General features: G+C 47.7%; 1 pseudogene; it reads left to right on the forward strand.

Moving 5' to 3' along the window:
* On the forward strand, nucleotides 1–2,320 carry LOC100422633 (ALG11, alpha-1,2-mannosyltransferase pseudogene; annotated as a pseudogene).

A 19,116-nucleotide genomic window follows, 5' to 3' on the forward strand; every position in this document is an offset into this window, starting at 1 on the left:
AAGGGCTTCCTAGTTTGGGGGGTCTTCGGAAGATGGGGCCCCATGGGAGGGGACTGGTCTTTGAGTTGTTGAGGTAATTTAATTCATTGTTCTTTCGTGAGCTAATTGTATGTGGAAATTTATGTAAATCTTTGGTAATCATCCTTTGAGGAATCTGCTGCTATCAAGAAAGAAAAAGTCAGTGTCAACCAGCAAAAAAATGGAAAAAATCAAATAGTGATTGCTGTTTTTTTTTTTTTTTTGAGACGGAGTCTTGCTCTTTCGCCCAGGCTGGAGTGCAGTGGCACTATCTCAGCTTACTGCAAGTTCTGCCTCCTGGGTTCATGCCATTCTCCTGCCTCAGCCTCCCAAGTAGCTGGGACTACAGGCACCCGCCACCATGCCCAGCTAATTTTTTGTATTTTTAGTAGAGACGGGGTTTCACCGTGTTAGTCAGGATGATGGTCTCGATCTCCTGACCTCGTGATCCGTCTGCCTCAGCCTCCCAAAGTGCTGGGATTACAGGCGTGAGCCACCACGCCCGGCCTTTTTTTTTGAGAGTGTCTCACTCTGTCACCCAGGCTGCAGTGCAGTGGCATGATCTCAGCTCACTGCAACTGCCACATCCTGGGTTCAAGTGATTCTCCTGCCTCAGCCTCCTGAGTAGCTGGGAGTACAGGCATGCGCCACCATGTCTGGCTAATTTTTGTATTTTTTTTTTTTTGTAGAGATGGGGATTCACCATGTTGACCAGGCTGGTCTTGAACTCCTGACCTCAAGCCATCTGCCCACCTCAGCCTCCCAAAATGCTGGGATTACAGGCATGAGCCACCGCGTCTGGCCTATTTGAATTTTTTTAATCCATACTGCAATGCTAGTGGAGAAGGAGAATGAGTTTTATGGTGTGGTTTCAAGAGCCCTGCAGAAAAAGTAAGTATCTTGAAGCAGGTTGTTATTATTATTATTATTATTATTATTATTATTATTATTATTATTTTCTGGAGACAGTCTCGCTGTGTTGCCCATGCTGGAGTGCAGTGGTGCGATCTCAGGTCACTGCAACCTCCGCCTCCTGGGTTCAAGCAATTCTCCTGTCTCAGGCTCCCAAGTAGCTGGGATTACAGGCCCAAGCCTCCACGCCCGGCTAATTTTTGTATTTTTGGTAGAGACAGGGTTTCATCATGTTGGCCAGGCTGGTCTTGAACTCCTGATCTCAAGTGATCCACCCACCTCAGCCTCCCAAAGTGGTGAGATTAAAGGTATGAGCCACTGCACACAGCCTATGTTGTTTGTTTGTTTGTTCGCTTGTTTATTTCTGAGACAGAGTCTCACTCTGTCGCCCAGGCTAGAGTGCAGTGGCACCATTGCAGCTCACTCCAGCCTCGACTTCCTGGGCCCAAGTGATCTTCCCACCTCAGCCTTCCAAGTAGCTGAGACTACAGGCATGGGCACAAAATGTTGAATAAAATAACACAGCCTTCGTTACCAGGAATCCTCAGTAAAGCAAAGCTCATCTACTACTATTTAGTTTTCGGTTTATTTGTGGACTCTTCGGTTCTTGCAGTGATGTATGTACTCATGATGAATTCTTCTTGGACACTGAACCATATCCTCTCACTGTGGAAAGCTGGGAATTACGCTAGTATTGTTCATCCACCACGTGGTATGCGGGCATTTCTGAACATTCCCTGACTTCAGAAAAAGATGACCCCAGGACATTTGGTGGTTTCTGTTGGCCAGTTCAGACCTGAAATTAATCTTCCTTTGCAGATCAGAGCTTTTGAGAAATAGTTAAACAAGATGATTGAGGCCAGGCGCGGTGGCTCATGCCCGTAATCCCAGCACTTTCGGAGGCTGAGGCAGGTGGGTTACCTGAAGCCAGGAGTTCAAGACCAGCCTGGCCGACATGGTGAAACCATGTTACTACTAAAAATACAAAAAACATTAACCAGGCATGGTGGCATGTGCCTGTAATCCCAGCTTCTTGGGAGGCTGAGGCATGAGAATTGCTTGAACCCAGGAGGCGGGGTTGCAGCGAGCTGAGATCGTGCCACTGCACTCCAGCCTGGGTGATAGAGCAAGACTCTATCTCAAAAACAAGATGGTGATTGAGTCACCTCCTTTATTGAAACCTGTTCTCATTAGAGATTGTTGTACCAAAGATGATGAGACTTCAGATGAACCAACTAAGAAAGCTGTCTGAGGATTTAGGAATTTTAAAAGGTGTGGAATTTCAAAGAAATATTCCATTTTGATGAAGTAAAGGTTAAAGAAGTGCTTGTCTGAAGAGACAGTTGATCTGCATACCACGCAGAACAAGTATTTTGGGATGGGTGTTGTGAAAGTTTTGGCCAACACAATTTTTTTTTTTTTTTTTGAGACAGAATCTTGCTCTGCCATCCAGGCTGGAGTGCAATAGCATGATCTCGGCTCACTGCAAGCTCCACCTCCCAGGTTCAAGCGATTCTCCTGCCTCAGCCTCCTGGGTAGCTGGGACTACAGGCAGGTGCCACTATGCCCGGCTAATATTTTGCATTCTTAGTAGAGACTGGGTTTCACAGTCTTAGCCAGGATGGTCTTGATCTCCTGACCTCGTGATCTGCCCACCTCAGCCTCCCAAACTGCTGGGATTACAGGCGTGAGCCACCATGCCGGCCTTTTTTTTTTTTTTAAGAGATAGGGTCGGTCCAGGCCAGGTGCGGTGGCTCACCCCTGTAATCCTAGCACTTTGGGAGGCCGAGGCAGGCAGATTGCCTGAGCTCAGAAGTGTGAGACCACGCTGGGTAACATGGTGAAACCCCGTCTCTACTGAAATACAAAAAATTAGCCAGATGTAGTGGTGTACGCCTGTAGTCCCAGCTACTCGGGAGGATGAGGCAGGAGAATTGCTTGAACCCGGGAGATGGAGGTTGCAATGAGCTGAGATCACTCCAGTGCACTCCAGCCTGGGTGACAGAGTGAGACTCCATCCCCCAAAAATATATATATAAATAAATCCAATAAATAAATAAATGAGATAGGGTCGGTTGGGCATAGTGGCTCACACCTGTGATCCCAGCACTTTGGGAGGCCGAGGCGGGTGGATCACCTGAGGTCAAGAGTTCGGGACCACCCTGGCCAACATGGTGAAACTCCGTCTCTACTAAAAATACAAAAATTAGCCAGGCGTGGTGGTGCATGTCTGTAATCGCAGCTACTCGGGAGGCTGAGGCAGGGAATTGCTTGAACCCGGGAGGCGGAGGTTGTAGTGAGCCAAGATCGTGCCACTGCCCTCCAGCCTGGGCGACAGAGCAAGACTCCATCAAAAAAAGAAAAAAAAGACTGGGTCTTTCTGTCACCCAGGCTGGCGTGCAGTGACATGATTATAGCTAACTGCAACCTCGACCACTGCGGCTCATGTGATCCTCCTGCATCAACCTCCTGAGTAGCTGGGACTACAGGTGCACACAACCACACCCAGTTAATTTTTAAAGTTTTTGTAGAGATGAGGTCTCAATATGTTGCCAGAGCTGGTCTCAAACTCCTGGGCTCAAGGAGTTCAAAAGTTACGAAAATTATAAGTTACCTTTTTGAGAGAGAGAGAAAGTCTTGCTATGTTGCCCAGGCTGGAGTGCGGTGGTTATTCACAGACAGGATCATGGCACACTACAGCCTTGAACTCCTGGGCTCAAATGGTCCTCCTGCCTCAGCCTCCCAAGTAACTGAGAATACAGGTACATGCCCAGCTAAAAGTTACTTTAATTAAAGGTAACTATCTAGGCCGGGCACAGTGGCTCACGCCTGTAATCCCAGCACTTTCGGAGGCCGAGGCGGGCGGATCACGAGGTCAGGAGATCGAGACCATCCTGGCTAAGACAGTGAAACCCCGTCTCTACTAAAAATACAAAAAATTAGCAGGGCGTGGTGGCAGGCGCCTCTAGTCCCAGCTACTTGGGAGGCTGAGGCAGGAGAATGACGTGAACCTGGGAGGCAGAGCTTGCAGTGACCCGAGATCACGCCACTGCACTCCAGCCTGGGCAACAGAGCGAGACTCCATCTCAAAAAAAAAAAAAAAAAAAAAGGTAACAACCTAGGCAGGGTGCGGTGGCTCATGCCTATAATTTCAGAACTTTGGGAGGCTGAGGCAGGCAGATCACGAGGTCAGGAGATCAAGACCAGCCTGGCCAACACGGCAAAACCCCATCTCTACTAAAAATACAAAAATTAGCTGGGCGTGGTGGCACCTGCCTGTAATCCCAGCTACTCAGGAGGCTGAGGCAGGAGAATTGCTGGAACCCGGGAGGTGGAGGTTGCAGTGAGCTGAGATCGTGCCATTGCACTCCAGCCTGGGTGACAGGACAAGACTCCGTCTCAAAAAAAAAAAAAAAAAAAAAAATCTATAGTAAATGCCTTCTAAAACCGTATCTTTATCACTGCCCTATAACTCTATATAGATTCTTGGCTACTAAGCCAATAGCTGGGATGATATAAATGTAATGCAGCTGCTATCTGAATAACAAGCATGGAAAAGTGAATATGTGTGTGTGCAGATAATGCTCTACAAACATACAACTTATGACATTTTCTGTAACCATAATCAATTTCTTGTAGTTCAGTGAGTTGACCCCCTTCATGATCAGTGTTAGGGGCATGTGAAAGAGGTGATTGGTTGATTGATTGATTGATTGATTGATTTAGAGACAGAGTCTCTGTCTGTCACCCAGGCTGGAGTGCAAAGGTGTGATCTTGGCTCGCTGAAACCTCCGCCTCCTGGCTGCAAGCAATTCTGCTGCCTCAGCCTCCCGATTAGCTGGAAATACAGGCACCTGCCACCACGCCCAGCTAATTTTTGTATTTATATTGAAGACGGGATTTCACCATGTTGGCCAGGCTGGTCTCAAACTCCTGAACTCAAGTGATCCACCCACCTCGGCCTCCCAAAGTGCTGGGATTACAGGCATGAGCCACCACACCTGACCAAAGAGGTGTATTATTCTTTTGCAATTTCCTTTTAACCAGCTGGTTTTGTTATCTACTTCTGATTATGTCGCTGATACAGGCCATTTTCTGTTATCAGATCAAAAAGCAGCAAAGCCAGGCATAGTAGTGCACAACTATAGTCTCAGCTACTCAGGAGCCTGATGGGAGAATTGCTTGAGCCCAGATTGAGGCCACATTGAGCTGAGATGGCACTACCATACTCTAGCCTGGGTGACAGAGCGAGACCCTGTCTCAATTAAAAAAAGAAAAGAAAAGAAACAGGCCAGGCGCGGTGTCTCACGCCTGGAATCCCAGAACTTTAGGAGGCCGAGGCGGGTGGATCATTTGAGGTCAGGAGTTTGAGACCAGCCTGGCCAACATGGTGAAACCCTGTCTGTACTAAAAATACAAAAATTAGCCAGATATGGTGGCAGGCGCCTGTAATCCCAGCTACACAGGTTGCTGAGGCAGGAGAATCGCTTGAACCCAGGAGGCAGACAGAGGTTGCAGTGAGCCGAGATTGCGCCATTGCACTCCAGCCTAGGTGACAGAGTGAGACTCCATCTCAAAAAACAAACAAACAAAGAAAACACAAAACTTTTATGGAATTCCAGAATCCTTTCTTCCTTCACTACTTCCTCTACTTTTGCTCTATTTCAAATTATTTATTTTTGACCTCATAATTTTTTGTGTGTGGATGGGTAGGCAGAATGAATTAACAGTACAAATCTTACCTCAAAGACTAGCTATAAAATAAGAAAAAGCGCCAAGCCAGAGTTTGAACTTCCAGGTTATAATACTGATTCTGTCATCAAACAGCTTTGTGACACCAAAGGAGTTTACTAAGTTCTTTGGATTTATTTATTATTATGTTAGATGGAGTGTCACTCTATTGCCCAGGCTGGAGTGCAGTGGCACAATCTCGGCTCACTGCAACATCTGCCTCCTGGGTTCAAGCGATTCTCCTGCCTCAGCCTCCCGAGTAGCTGCGATTACAGGCATGTGCCACCTTGCCCAGCTAATTTTTGTCTTTTTAGTAGAGACGGGGTTTCACCATGTTGGCCAGGCTGGTCTCAAACTCCTGGTCTCTAGTGATTTGCCTGCCTTGGCCTCTCAGAGTACTGAGATTACAGACGTGAGCCACTGTGCCCAGCTGGAAATGGATTTTAAATCTCTGAGATGTGAAAGCATTTTCTAAGCTTAAGAGCAGAGGGCAAAATGGTCAAGCAATGTACTGAGTTGTCTCTCTTTAAAACTTAAAGAGGAATTCTTAGCCAGGTGCTGTGGCTCATGCCTGTAATCCCAGCACTTTGGGAGGCCAAGGTGAGAGAATCACTTGAGCCCAGGAGTTTGAGACCAACTTGGGCAATGTAGTGAGACCACATCTCTGCAAAAAATAAAAATTAGCTGGGTATGGTCGCACATGCCTGTAATCCCACCTACTTGGGAAGCTGAGGTGGGAGGATCACTTGAACCCAGGAGGCTGAGGCTTCTGTGAGCTATGATAGTTCCACTGCACCCCAGCCTGGGCAACACAGTAAGACTCTATCTCTAAAAAAGAAAAGAGAATGAGACATCTTTTGTCTATTTTAATCTAACCTTTTTTTTTTTTTCCTGAAGACTCTTACCCCAGCTTGCAGCTTTTTTTTTTTTTTTTTTTTTTTTGACAGAGTTTTGCTTTGTCGTCCAGGCTGGAGTGCAGTGGCGTAATTTCGGCTCACTGCAACCTCTGCCTCCCAGGTTCAAGTGATTCTCCTGTCTCAGCCTCCCTAGTAGCCAGGATTACAGACACACACCACCATGCCCAGCTCATTTTTGTATTTTTAGTAGAGATGGGGTTTTGCCATGTTGGCCAGGCTGGTCTCAAACTCCTGGCCTCAGGTGATCCACCCTCCTCAGCCTCCCAAAGTGCTGGGATTACAGGCATGAGCGACTGTGCCCGGCCAGCTTGCTGCTTTTAGCATAAATTTCAGGCTTCTGGTGAGCTCTTGGCAACATGTACCAAGAATCATAACGTGTTTGCCTTTTTCCAGCCAGTATTTCCACTGCTGGGAATCCATGAGAAAGAAATATGAGAAATAGGCAAATATTTACATATAACAATGCTTCTGTTATTGTTATTTTAATATTCAGTTAGTGCAAAGCCTGAGGTATCCGGTACGCTGTGTACAATCACGTGATAAGATCCAATATGCAGTTATGAAAAATGTTTGTAGATTTTCTTTAACAATATGTAAAATATTTTCATACTATTTTTACAGAAAAAAGCAGGATATTGGGAGGCCAAAGCAGGCGGATCACTTGAGGCAAGGTGTCCAAGGCCAGCCTGGCCAACATGGTGAAACCCCATATCTACTAAAAATACAAAAAATTAGCAGAGTGTGGTGGCACAAGCCTGTAATCCCAGCTATTTGGGAGGCTGAGGCAGGAGAATTGCTTGAACCTGGGAGGCAGAGGTTGCAGTGAGCCGAGATGGCACCATTGCACTCCAGCCTGGGTGACAGAGTGAGACTCCATCTCAAAAAAAAAAAAAAAAGAAAGAAAAAGAAAAATGCAGGATATAGGATAAAACATTTTTTTCTAGATGTTGCCGTAATTAAAAATTTTGTTGCCTATATGGCCAGGAGTGGTGGCTCACGCCTGTAATCCCAGCACTTTGCGAGCCGAGGTGGGTGGATCACTTGAGGCCAGGAGTTCGAGATCAGCCTGGGCAACATGGTGAAACCCCATCTCTACTAAAAATACAAAAATTAGCCGGGCGTGGTGGTGCATGCCTGTAATGCCAGCTACTCGGGAGGGTGAGGCATGAGAAGTGCTTGAGTCCGGGAAGTGGAGGTTGCAATAAGCTGAGATTACACCGCTGTGCTCCACCCTGGGTGACAAAGCAAGACTGACTCAAAAAAAAAAAAAAAAAAAAAAGATGTTTCCTATATAGCAACAGGAAATCTCACTCTTTGCTGAGAGAAATGCCAAACAGTACAGCCACTCTAGAAGACAGTGTGACAGCTTCTTACAAAACTAAACATACTCTTACCATATAACCAATTAATTTCACTCCTAGATATTTACCCAAACGAGTTGAAAGCTCATGTCTACAAGAAAACCCGCACATGGGCCAGGTGCAGTGGCTCATACCCGTAATCCCAACACTTTGGGAGACCGAGGCGGGCAGATCACGAGGTCAGGAGTTCAAGACCAGCCTGGCCAATATGGTGAAACCCTGTCTCTACTAAAAATACAAAAATTAGCTGCGCGTGGTGGCATGTGCCTGTAGTCCCAGCTACTCAGGAGGCTGAGGCAGGAGAATCACTTGAACCCGTGAGGCAGAGGTTGCAGTGAGCCGAGATCACACCACTGCACTCCAGCCTGGGCGACACAGGGAGACTCCGACTCAAAAAAAAAAAAACAAACTGGCCGGGTGCGGTGGCTCATGCCTGTAATCCCAGCACTTTGGGAGGCCGAGGCGGGAGGATCACGAAGTCAGGAGATCGAGACCATCCTGGCTAACACGGTGAAACCCTGTCTCTACTAAATATACAAAAAATTAGCCGGGCATGGTGGCAGGTGCCTGTAGTACCAGCTACTCGGGAGGCTGAGGCAGGAGAATGGCGTGAACCCAGGAGGCAGAGCTTGCAGTGAGCCGAGATGGCGCCACTGCACTCCAGCCTGGGCGAGAGAGTGAGACTCTGTCTCAAAACCAAAAAAACAAAACAAAACAAAACCTGCACACGGATGTTTACAGCAGTATTATTCATAATTGCATAAAACTTGGAAGCAACCAAGATGCCCTTCGGGAGTTGAATGAATAAATAAACAGTGGTACTTTCAGACAATGGGAACTCATTAATTAAAATAAATGAGCTCTTGCTGGGCACAGTGGCACAAGCCTGTGGTCCCAGATACTCAGGAGGCTGAAGTGGAAGGATTGCTTGAGCCTAGGAGTTCCAGGTCAGACTGGGGGACAGAGAAAGACCATGTCTCTAAATAAATTAATTTAAATTACAATATATTTTTTCTTTTCTTTTCTTCTAACACAGAATCTCACTCTTGTCACCCAGGCTGGAGTGCAGTAGTGCTATCTTAGCTCAGTGCAGCCTCCGCTTCCCAGGTTCAAGCAATTCTGCCTCAGCCTCCTGAGTAGCTGGGACTACAAGTGCGTGCCACCACGCCCGGCTAATTTTTGAATTTTTAGTAGAAACAGGGTTCCAACAAGTTTGCCAGGCTGGTCTCGAACTCCTGACCTCAAGTGATCTGCCCACCTTGGCCTCCCAAAGTGCTGGAATTACAGGTGTAAGCCACTGTGACCAGCCTAAAAAAATTTTTTAATTATCCAGGCATGATGGTGCACCTGTAATCCCAGCTACTCAGGGAGGCTGAGGCAGGGGGATGGCTTGAGCTGGAGAGGTCGACACTGCAGTGAACTGTGATGGTGCCACTGCACTCCAGCCTGGATGACAGAGAAAGAGCCTGGCTAAAAAAACATATAACTAGCCGAGCAAAACTCCTTCTCAAAAAAAAAAAAAAAAAAAAAGTGAGCCCTAATGTAGGCTGTGGACTCGGGGTGATGAGGACGGGTCCCTGGAGATTCATCAAGTATAACCAATGCACCACTCTAGTGGCGGACATTGATAAGGAGGAGGCTGGGCTTGGGGAGCAGGGTAGATATATGGGAAATCTCTGTACTTTCCACTCAATTTTGCTGCAAACCTGAACTGCTATAAATCAGAACGTTTATGGGCTGGGTGCAGTGGTTCACGCCTGTCATCCCAGCACTTTGGGAGGCCAAGGCAGGAGGATCGCTTGAGCCCAGGAGTTTGAGACCACCCTGAGCAACATAGCAAGGCCCCATCTCTACAAAAAAAAAAAAAAGAAAGAAAATACAAAAATTAGCCAGGTGTGGTGGTGTGCATCTGTAGTCCCAGCTACTCGGGAGGCTGAGGCAGAAGGATGGCTTGAGCCTGGGAGGTGGAGTTGGCACTGAGCTGTGATTGCATCACTGCACTCCAGCCTCAGTGACAGAGCCAGACCTTGTCTTAAAAAAAAAAAAGCCCATGGGAAAACAAATACTGTTTTCCTCTGCTTGAGTGAAAGAAGCCAGTCTCGCTGGGCGCGGTGGCTCACGCCTGTAAGTCCCAGCACTTTGGGAGGCCGAGGTGGGCAGATCACCTGAGGTCGGGAGTTCGAGACCAGCCTGGCCAACATGGAGAAACCCCGTCTCTACTAAAAATACAAAGTTAGCTGGGCATGGTGGCGCATGCCTGTAATCCCAGCTACTCGGGAGGCTAAGGCAGGAGAATCGCTTGAACCCAGGAGGTGGAGGTTGCAGTGAGCCGAGATCGTGCCATTGCACTCCAGCCTGAGCAACAAGAATGAAACTCCATCCAAAAAAAAAAAAGAAAAGAAAGAAAGAACCCAGTCTCACAAGGCTATCCAGTGTGTGACTGATTCCATTTATACAACAGTCCCGGAAAGGCTAAATTATGGCGACAGAGAGCCGATCAGTGGTTGTCAAGGAGAAGGAAGGAAGGATGTGACTCCTAACGGGCAGTGTAAGGGAATTTTACGGGGTGATGAAGTTGTTCTTTTTCTTTCTTTCTTTCTTTCTTTTTTTTTATTTGAGACAGAGTCTCGCTCTGTCACCCAGGCTGGAGTGCAGTGGATCTCGGCTCACTGCAACCTCCATCCCCTGGGTTCAAGCAATTCTCCTGCCTCAGCCCCCCGAGGACCTGGAACCACAGGTGTGCGCCACCATGCCTGGCTAATTTTTGTATTTTTAATAGAGACGGGGTTTCACCACATTGGCCAGGCTGGTCTCAAACTCCTGACCTCAGGTGATCCACCTGCATCAGCCTCGCAAAGTTCTGGGATTACAGGCATGAGCCACCCCATCCAGCATTTTTTTTTTCTTTTTTTTTTTCTTTTTCTTTTTCTTTTTCTTTTCTTTTTTTTTTTTTCTTTTTTTTTTTTTTTTTTTTTTTTTGAGACAGTCTTGCTCTGTCGCCCAGGCTGGAGTGCAGTAGTGTGATCTCAGCTCACTGCAACCTCTGCCTCCCAGATTCAAGTGATTCTTATGCCTCAGCCTCCCAAGTAGCTGGTATTACAGGCATGCGCCACCATACCTAGGTCATTTTTGTATTTTTGATAGAGATGGGGTTTCCCCACGTTGGCCGGGCTGCTCTTGAAATCCTGACCTTATGTGATCCGCTGGACTCGGCCTCTCAAAGTGCTGGCGTTACAGGCATGAGCCACAGCGCCCAGCCAGATTTTAATTTTTTTTTTTATAGATAGGGTCTCACTACATTGCCCAGGCTGGACTCCAACTCCTAGGTTCAAGCAATGCCGCCTCGGCCTCCCAAAGTGCTGGGATTACAGGTATGAGGTGCTGCATCCAGCCTAAAAAATTGATTTAATGCAAAAAAAAAAAAGAAAATCCTGGTGCCTGACCCCTGGCTGTCCTCAGCTGGCCCATAAGACCCTGATGACTTTTGAGCTCTGAATCAAGGGTTGGCATATCTAGACCTGCTGCAAGCTACAGATACTCAGAACCATGCACGAGGTTGCAAATCCTACATATGATTTCCAGAATCCACATCCCATCTGCACTCTTTCTGGTAGAGCACACCTTGTTCCTGGGGCTCCAGGACAAATGGGTGCATCAAAGCTAACTTCCGGCCCTGGGCAGTGGCTCACGCCTGTAATCCCAGCACTTTGGGAGGACGAGGCAAGAGGATCACCTGAGGTCAGGAGTTCAAGACCAGCCTGGCCAACAAGGTGAAACCCCATCTCTACTAAAAATACAAAAATTAGCTGGATACGGTGGCCCATGCCTGTAATTCCAGCTACTCAGGAGGCTGAGGCAAAAGAATCGCTTGAACCTGGGAGGCGGAGGTTGCAGTAAGCTGAGCTCATGCCACTGCACTCTAGCCTTGGAGACAAAGTGAGATTCTGGCAAAAGAAAAGAAAAGAAAAAAAGCTACCTTCCACCAGCCACAATGGCTCACGCCTGTAATCCCAACATTTTGGGAGCCCAGGAGTTTGAGACCAGCCTGCAGCCTGGGCAACATAGCAGGAAACTCTCTCTAAAAAGGAAGAAAAGAAAAATTCGCCAGGCATGGTGGCGCACACCTGTAGTCCCAGCTACTTGGAAGGCTGAGGTGGGAAGCTGGCTTGAGCCTGGGAAATTGAGGCTGCAGTGAGCTATGATCATGCCACTACACTCCAGCCTGGGCAACAGAGTGGGACCTTGTCTCAAAAGAAAAATAAAAAGTCTACCTTCTACGTGGTCTCTCTGGCTACCTCAGTCATACTGATCCCTTGGCTATACTGATCATTCAGTCACATCCCACTCTGACCCCTGGACTCCCCTGGCCACTGACCTATAGTGACCTGCTCTCTTTGGTCCCTGCAGGGAGACACATTTGAAACCTACAAGTACCCAGGGGAAAAAAAAAAAAAAAGGCCATTACTTCCTTAATCTGTATCTGTTTTTAAGTGGAATTGTATCCATAAGCAACCCAGAGTGCTATTATGTTTCAAATTTATATAAACAGTATCACACTAAACTAACATTGCACAACTTGAATTTCTTTTTGAAACAGCACCACATTAAGATACATTTATATTGACATAGAGTAGAGCTGGAGAGAGTGAGAGTGAGAGCAAGGCAAGAGAGAGAAAGAGAGACACACAGACAGGGAGAGTTACTTATTCCTTTTCACTCCTGTTTAATATTCCATTACCTTACCATTACATTTCGTTCTCCTTTCATTTCTCTACTCCCTCATTGATGGACGTTCTGATAGTTTCTTTTTTTCTTTTCTTTTTTTTTTTTTTTTTTTTTTTTGAGGCAGAGTTTTGTTCTTGCTGCCCAGGCTGGAGTGCAATGGCGCGATCTTGGCTCACTGCAACCTCCACCACCTGGGTTCAAGTGATTCTCCTGCCTTGGCCTCCCAAGTTGCTGGTATTACAGGCATGCGCCACCACGCCTGGCTAATTTTGTATTTTTAGTAGAGATAGGGTTTCTCCATGTTGGTCAGGCTGGTCTCCAACTCCCGGCTTCAGGTGATCTGCCCGCCTCGGCCTCCCAAAGTGCTAGGGATTACAGGTGTGAGCCACTGCGCCCAGCCTTTTTTGTTTTTGTTTTTGTTTTTGTTTTTGTTTTGTTAGAGATGGGGTTTTATCCCGTCACTTAGGCTGGAGTGCAGTGGTGTAAACATGGCTGACTGCAGCCTCGACTTCCTGGGCTCAGGTGATCTTCCCACCTCAGGCTCTTGAGTAGCTGGGACCACAGGTATGCACCACCATGGCCAGCTAATTTTTAGTTTTTTTAGAGATGGAGTCTTGCTATGTTGTCCAGGCTGGTATTGAACTCCTGGACTCAAGCATTCCTCCTGCCTCAGCCTCCCAAAGTGCTGGGATGACAGGTGTGAACCACCGAGCCCAACCTAGTAGTTAAGTTTTGAGGAGTCAAAAGTTATATGTGAGGGGCTCGGCACAGTGGCCTGTCATCCCAGCACTTTGGGAGGTGGAGGCTGGCAGATCACTTGAGGTCAGGAGTTCAAGAACAGCCTGGCCAACATGGCAAAACCCTGTCTCTACTAAAAATACAAAAATTAGCCAGGTGTGGTGGCACGCACCTGTGGTCCAGCTATTCTGGAGGCTGAGGCATGAGAATCCCTTGAACCCAGGAGGCAGAGGTTGTAGTGAGCCAGGATTGTGCCATTGCACTCCAGCCTGGATGACAGAGTGAGACTGTCTCAAAAAAAGAAAAAAGAAAAAAAGTTATATGTGGGTCCAGGTGGGGTGACTCATGACTGTCATCCCAGCACTTTGGGAGGCCAAGGTGGGAGGATCACTTGAGTCCAGGAGTTCAACACCAGCCTGGAAAACATAGCAAGACTCCTGTCTCTACAAAAAATTAGCTGGACATGGTGGCAGGTGCCTGTAGTCCCATCAATTCGAGAGGCTGAGGCAAGAAGATCACTTGAGCCCAGGAGGTCAAGGCTGCAGTGAGCTATGATTGCACCACTGCACTCCAGCCTGGGTGACAGAGAGAGAGAGACAGAGAGAGAGCAACGGAAGGAAGGAAGGAAGGAAGGAAAGAAGGAAGGAAAGCGATAAATGAAAAGGAGGCCAGGCACAGTGGCTCATGCCTGTAATCCCAGCACTTTGGGAGGCCAAGGAAGGTTGATCCTCTGAGGTCAGGACTTTGTGACCAGCCTGGCCAACATGGTGAAACCCCGTCTCTACTAAAAACACAAAAACTAGCTGTGCATGGTGGTGGGCGCCTGTAATCTCAGCTACTTGGGAGGTTGAGGCAGGAGCATCACTTGAACCTAGGAGCCGGAGGTTGCAGTGTGCTGAGATTGTGCCACTGCACTCCAGCCTGGGCAACAAGAGTGAAACTCTGTCAAATAAAAGAAAAAAGAGAAGGAAAGAAAGAAAGGAAGGAAGGAAGGAAGACAGAGAAAGGAAGGAAGAGGAAGAGAGAAAGGGAGGGTAGGGAGGGAAGGAAGGAAAGAAAGAAAATGAAAAGGACAAAAACTCCAAAGGACAAATGAGTCTTTCACAAAAGGTGATCTCCAAATGGCTGATAAATGAAAGAGGGCTGACCTCATGAGTCATCAGAGAAATGCACATGAAACCCAAAATGCTAGCGGGGCGTGGTGGCTCACGCCTGTAATCCCAGCACTTTGGGATGCCGAGGCCAGTGGATCATGAGGTCAGGAGTTCGAGACCAGCCTGGCCAAGATGGTGCAACCCCGTCTCTACTAAAAAATACAAAAATTAGTCGGGTGCGGTGGCGGGTGCCTGTAATTCCAGCTACTCGGGAGGCTGAGGCAGGCGAATCACTTGAACCCAGGAGGCGGAGTCTGCAGTGAGCCGAGATCACACCACTGCACTCTAGCCTGGTCGACAGAGCAAGACTCCATCTCAAAAAAAAAGAAAATTTAATATCAAGTTATACTCCCACACTCTGGAGAGCGTGTGAAATGGTACAACCGCTTTGGAAAACCCTGGCAATATCCAGAAAGCTGAACAAACACCTACACAATATGAATCAGCATTTCTACTCCTAAGTATAAACTTAAAGAATATACATTGTTGCATTCATCCAGAAACTGGCCAGAATGTTCACAGCACCTGTGCTTATCACAGCCAGAAATTGGAAACAACCCAAATGCCTAAAAAAGTTTAGGTAAATAAACTGTGGTAAGTTCACAAAAGGGAAGACAGCGGTTCTCAACCGGGTGGTGATTTTTTTTTTTTTTTTTTTTTTTTTTTGAGACGGAGTTTCACTCTTGTTGCCCGGGCTGGAGTGCAATGGTGTGATCTCAGCTCACCGCAACCTCCGCCTCCCGAATTCAAGCGATTCTCCCTCCTAAGCCTTCTGAGTAGCTGGGATTACAGGCATGCACCACCGCGCCTGGCTAATGTTTGTGTTTTTAGTAGAAATGGGGTTTCTCCATGTTGGTCAGGCTGGCCTCGAACTCCCGACCTCAGGTGATCCACCTGCCTTGGCCTCCCAAAGTGCTGGGATTACAGGCGTGAGCCACCACGTCTAGTCGACTGGGTGGTGATCTTATCGCTTCTAAGGGAATATTTGGCAATGTCTAGCGATGTTTTGCGTTGTCAGAACCGAAGGGAGGAGTGTTACTGTCACGCTGTGAGTAGAGGCCTGGGATGCCGCTAAATACATACAATGTGTAGGAACAAAGATTATTCAGCTCCAAATGTCAACAGCAGTTGAGAAACCTTGCTATACCAAATGGCAACGGGCTGGACGCGGTGTCTCATGCCTGTAATCCCAGCACTTTGGGAAGCCAAGGCGGGAGGATCACTTGAGGTCAGGAATTTGAGACCAGCCTGGCCAGCATGGTGAAACCCTGTCTCTACTAAAAATACAAAAATCAGCCGGGCGTCGTGACACAGTCCTGTGGTCCCAGCTATTTGGGAGGCTGAGGCAGGAGAATCACTTGAACGTGGGAGGCAGAGGTTGCAGTGAGCTGAGATGGTACTCCAGCTTGGGTGACAGAGCGAGACTGTCTGAAAACAAAACAAAAAAAAAATGGCAAGGAACAATAACTGTAACCTACAAAAATATGGATGAACCACACAAACCTGGTGTTACACAAAAGAAACCAAACATAAAGGAAACGTCCTGCTTGTTTTCATTTATATAATGTTCAAATAGCAGACAGAGTGATTCTAGACTGTTAAAAATCAAGATAAGGGCTGGGCACGGTGGCTCGCACCTATAATCCCAGCATTTTAGGAGGCTAAGGCATGAGGATTGCTTGAGGCCAGGAGTTCCAACCCAGCCTGGGCAACATAGTGAAACCCATCCCTACAAAGAAATGCAAAAATTTGCTGGGCGTGATGGCGTGTGTGCCTGTAGTCCCAGCTACTTAGGGGGCTGAGGTGGGAGGATCACTTGAGCCTGGGAGGTCAAGGCTGCAGTGAGCCGTGATCGCACCACTTCACTACAGCCTGGGTGACACAGCAAGACCCTATCTCTTAAAAAAAAAATGGGGTTACCCTTTGTGGAGAGTAGCAGGGCAGGGTACAATGGGGGACTTCTAGGGGCTGGTGATGTTCTGTTCTTTTTTTTCCTTTTTTGAGATGGAATCTCACTCTGTCGGCCAGGCTGGAGTGCAGTGGCATGATCTCCACTCACTGCAAGTTCCGCCTCCCGGGTTCACGCCATTCTCCTGCCTCAGCCTCCCGAGTAGCTGGGACTACAGGTGCCTGCCACCATGCCCGGCTAATTTTTTTGTATTTTTAGTAGAGACAGGGTTTCACCGTGTTCGCCGGGATGGTCTTGATCTCCTGACCTTGTGATCCACCCGCCTCGGCCTCCCAAAGTGCTGGGATTACAGGCGAGAGCCACCGCGCCTGGACTGTTGTTTTTTTTTTTTTTTTTTTGGTTTTTTTTTTTTTGAGACAGAGTCTCACTCTGTCGCCCAGGCTGGAGTGCAGTGGCTTGATCTCGGCTTACTGCAAGTTTCGCCTCCCGGGTTCACACCATTCTCCTGCCTCAGCCTACCAAGTAGGTGGGACTACAGGAGCCCGCCACCATGTCCAGCCAATTTTTTTGTATTTTTAGTAGAGACGGGGTTTCACCATGTTCGCCAGGATGGTCTCAATCTCCTGACCTCGTGATCCACCTGCCTGGCTTCCCAAAGTGCTAGGATTACAAGTGTGAGCCACTGTGCCCGGCCTTTTTTTTTTTTTTTTTTTTTTGAGACAGAGTCTCACTCTGTCAGCCAGGCTGGAGTGCAGTGGTACAATCTCGGCTCACTGCAACCTCTGCCTCCTAGGTTCAAGTGATTCTCCTGCCTCAGTCTCCCAAGTTGCTAGGACTACAGGTGCCTACCACCATGCCCGGCTAATTTTTTTGTATTTTTAGTAGAGACAGGGTTTCACCATGTCGGCCAGGATGGTCTCAACCTCTTGACCTTGTGATCCACCTGCCTCGGCCGCCCAAAGTGTTGGGATTACAGGTGTGAGCCACAGCTCCCGGCCTATGTTCTGTTCTTGACCTAATCTAGGTCCTGGCTATACCCTACATTCACATGATAAAAATTCCTTAAGGCATATATTTATGATTTTGTTCTTGTTGTTGTTGTTTGTTTTGGTTTTTGTTTTTTTTGAGATGGAGTCTTGCTCTGTCGCCCAGGCTGGAGTGCAGGGGTGTGATCTCGGCTCACTGCAGCCTCCACCTCCTGGGTTCCAGCAATTCTCCTGCCTCAGCCTCCCAAGTAGCTGGGATTACAGGATGCCCAGCTAATTTTTGTATTTTTAGTAGAGACAGGGTTTCACCATGTTGGTCAGGCTGGTCTTGAACTCCTGACCTCAGGTGATCTGCCTGCCTCGGCCTCCCAAAGTACTAGGATTACAAGCATAAGCCACCACACCTGGCCACATTTATGAATTTATGCATTGTTTTCTTTACTAAAAGTGTGCTACACTTTTCTTCCTTTCTTCTTCTTCTTTGTTTGTTTTTGAGACAGGGTCTCACTCTATCACTCAGGCTGGAGTACAGTGGCACAATCTCCACTGACTACAAATCCCAGGCACAAGTGATCCTCTCACTTCAGCCCCCCTCGAGTAGCTGGGATTACAGGTGTGCACCACCATGCCTGGCTAATTTTTGTATTATGATAGAGATGGGGTTTTGCCATGTTACCCAGGCTGATCTCAAATTCCTGGGCTTAAGCGATCTACCCACCTCAGCCTCCCAAAGTGCTGGGATTACAGGCATGAGCCACCATGCTGGGCCTTATGTGTGCTATATTTAAACAAAAGCTTCTAAAAATTAAAAAAAAAATTATCCTATCTTCCTTCCACCCCTCTGTCCTGTTTAGACCTTACCCACGCTGCACTGGGTGACTTCACTTCTCCTACCTGCCCCCTCTCCTACAGCCCCTCCGATAGAAAACAACCAGGAATGGCCAGGCATGGTGGCTCTTGCCTATAATCTCAGCACTTTGGGAAGCCCAGGTAGGAGGATCACTTAAAAATTAGATGAGGTGGCATGCCCCTGTAATCACAGCTACTCAGGAGGCTGAGGCAGGAGGATCACTTGAGCCTGGGAGCTGGAGGCTGCAGTGAGCTACAATGGTAACACTGCACTCCAGACTGGACAAAGACAAATACACCCTGTCTCAAGAAAAAGAAAGAAGAGAGAGAGAGAAAGAAGAAGAGGAAGAGGAAGAGGAAGAAGAAGAAGAGGAAGAGGAAGAAGAAGAAGAAGAGGAAGAGGAAGAAGAAGAGGAAGAGGAAGCAGAAGGAGGAGGAGGAGAAGGAGGGGAGGGAGGGAAGGAAGGAAGGAAGGGAGGGAGGGAGGAAGGAAGGACCCACACAGTGGCTCACACCTGTAATCCCAGCACTTTGGGAGGCCAAGGTGGGAGGACCACCTGAGGTCAGGAGTTTGAGACCAGCCTGGCCAACATAGTGAAACCCCATCTCTAGTAACAATACAAAAATTAGCCTGGCATGGTTGTGCATGCCTTCAGTCCCAGCTACTTGGGAGGCTGAGGCAGGAGAATTGCTCGAACCCAGAAGGTGGAGTTTGCCCTGAGCCACGATCGTGCCACAGCACTCCAGCCTGGGCAACACAGCGAGACTGAGTCTCAAATAAAAAACAAAAAAAGAGAAAAGAAAATAAAGCAACCA

Source organism: Homo sapiens, chromosome 19 (genome assembly GCF_000001405.40).
Source record: "Homo sapiens chromosome 19, GRCh38.p14 Primary Assembly".
Taxonomy (NCBI): Eukaryota; Metazoa; Chordata; class Mammalia; order Primates; family Hominidae; genus Homo; species Homo sapiens.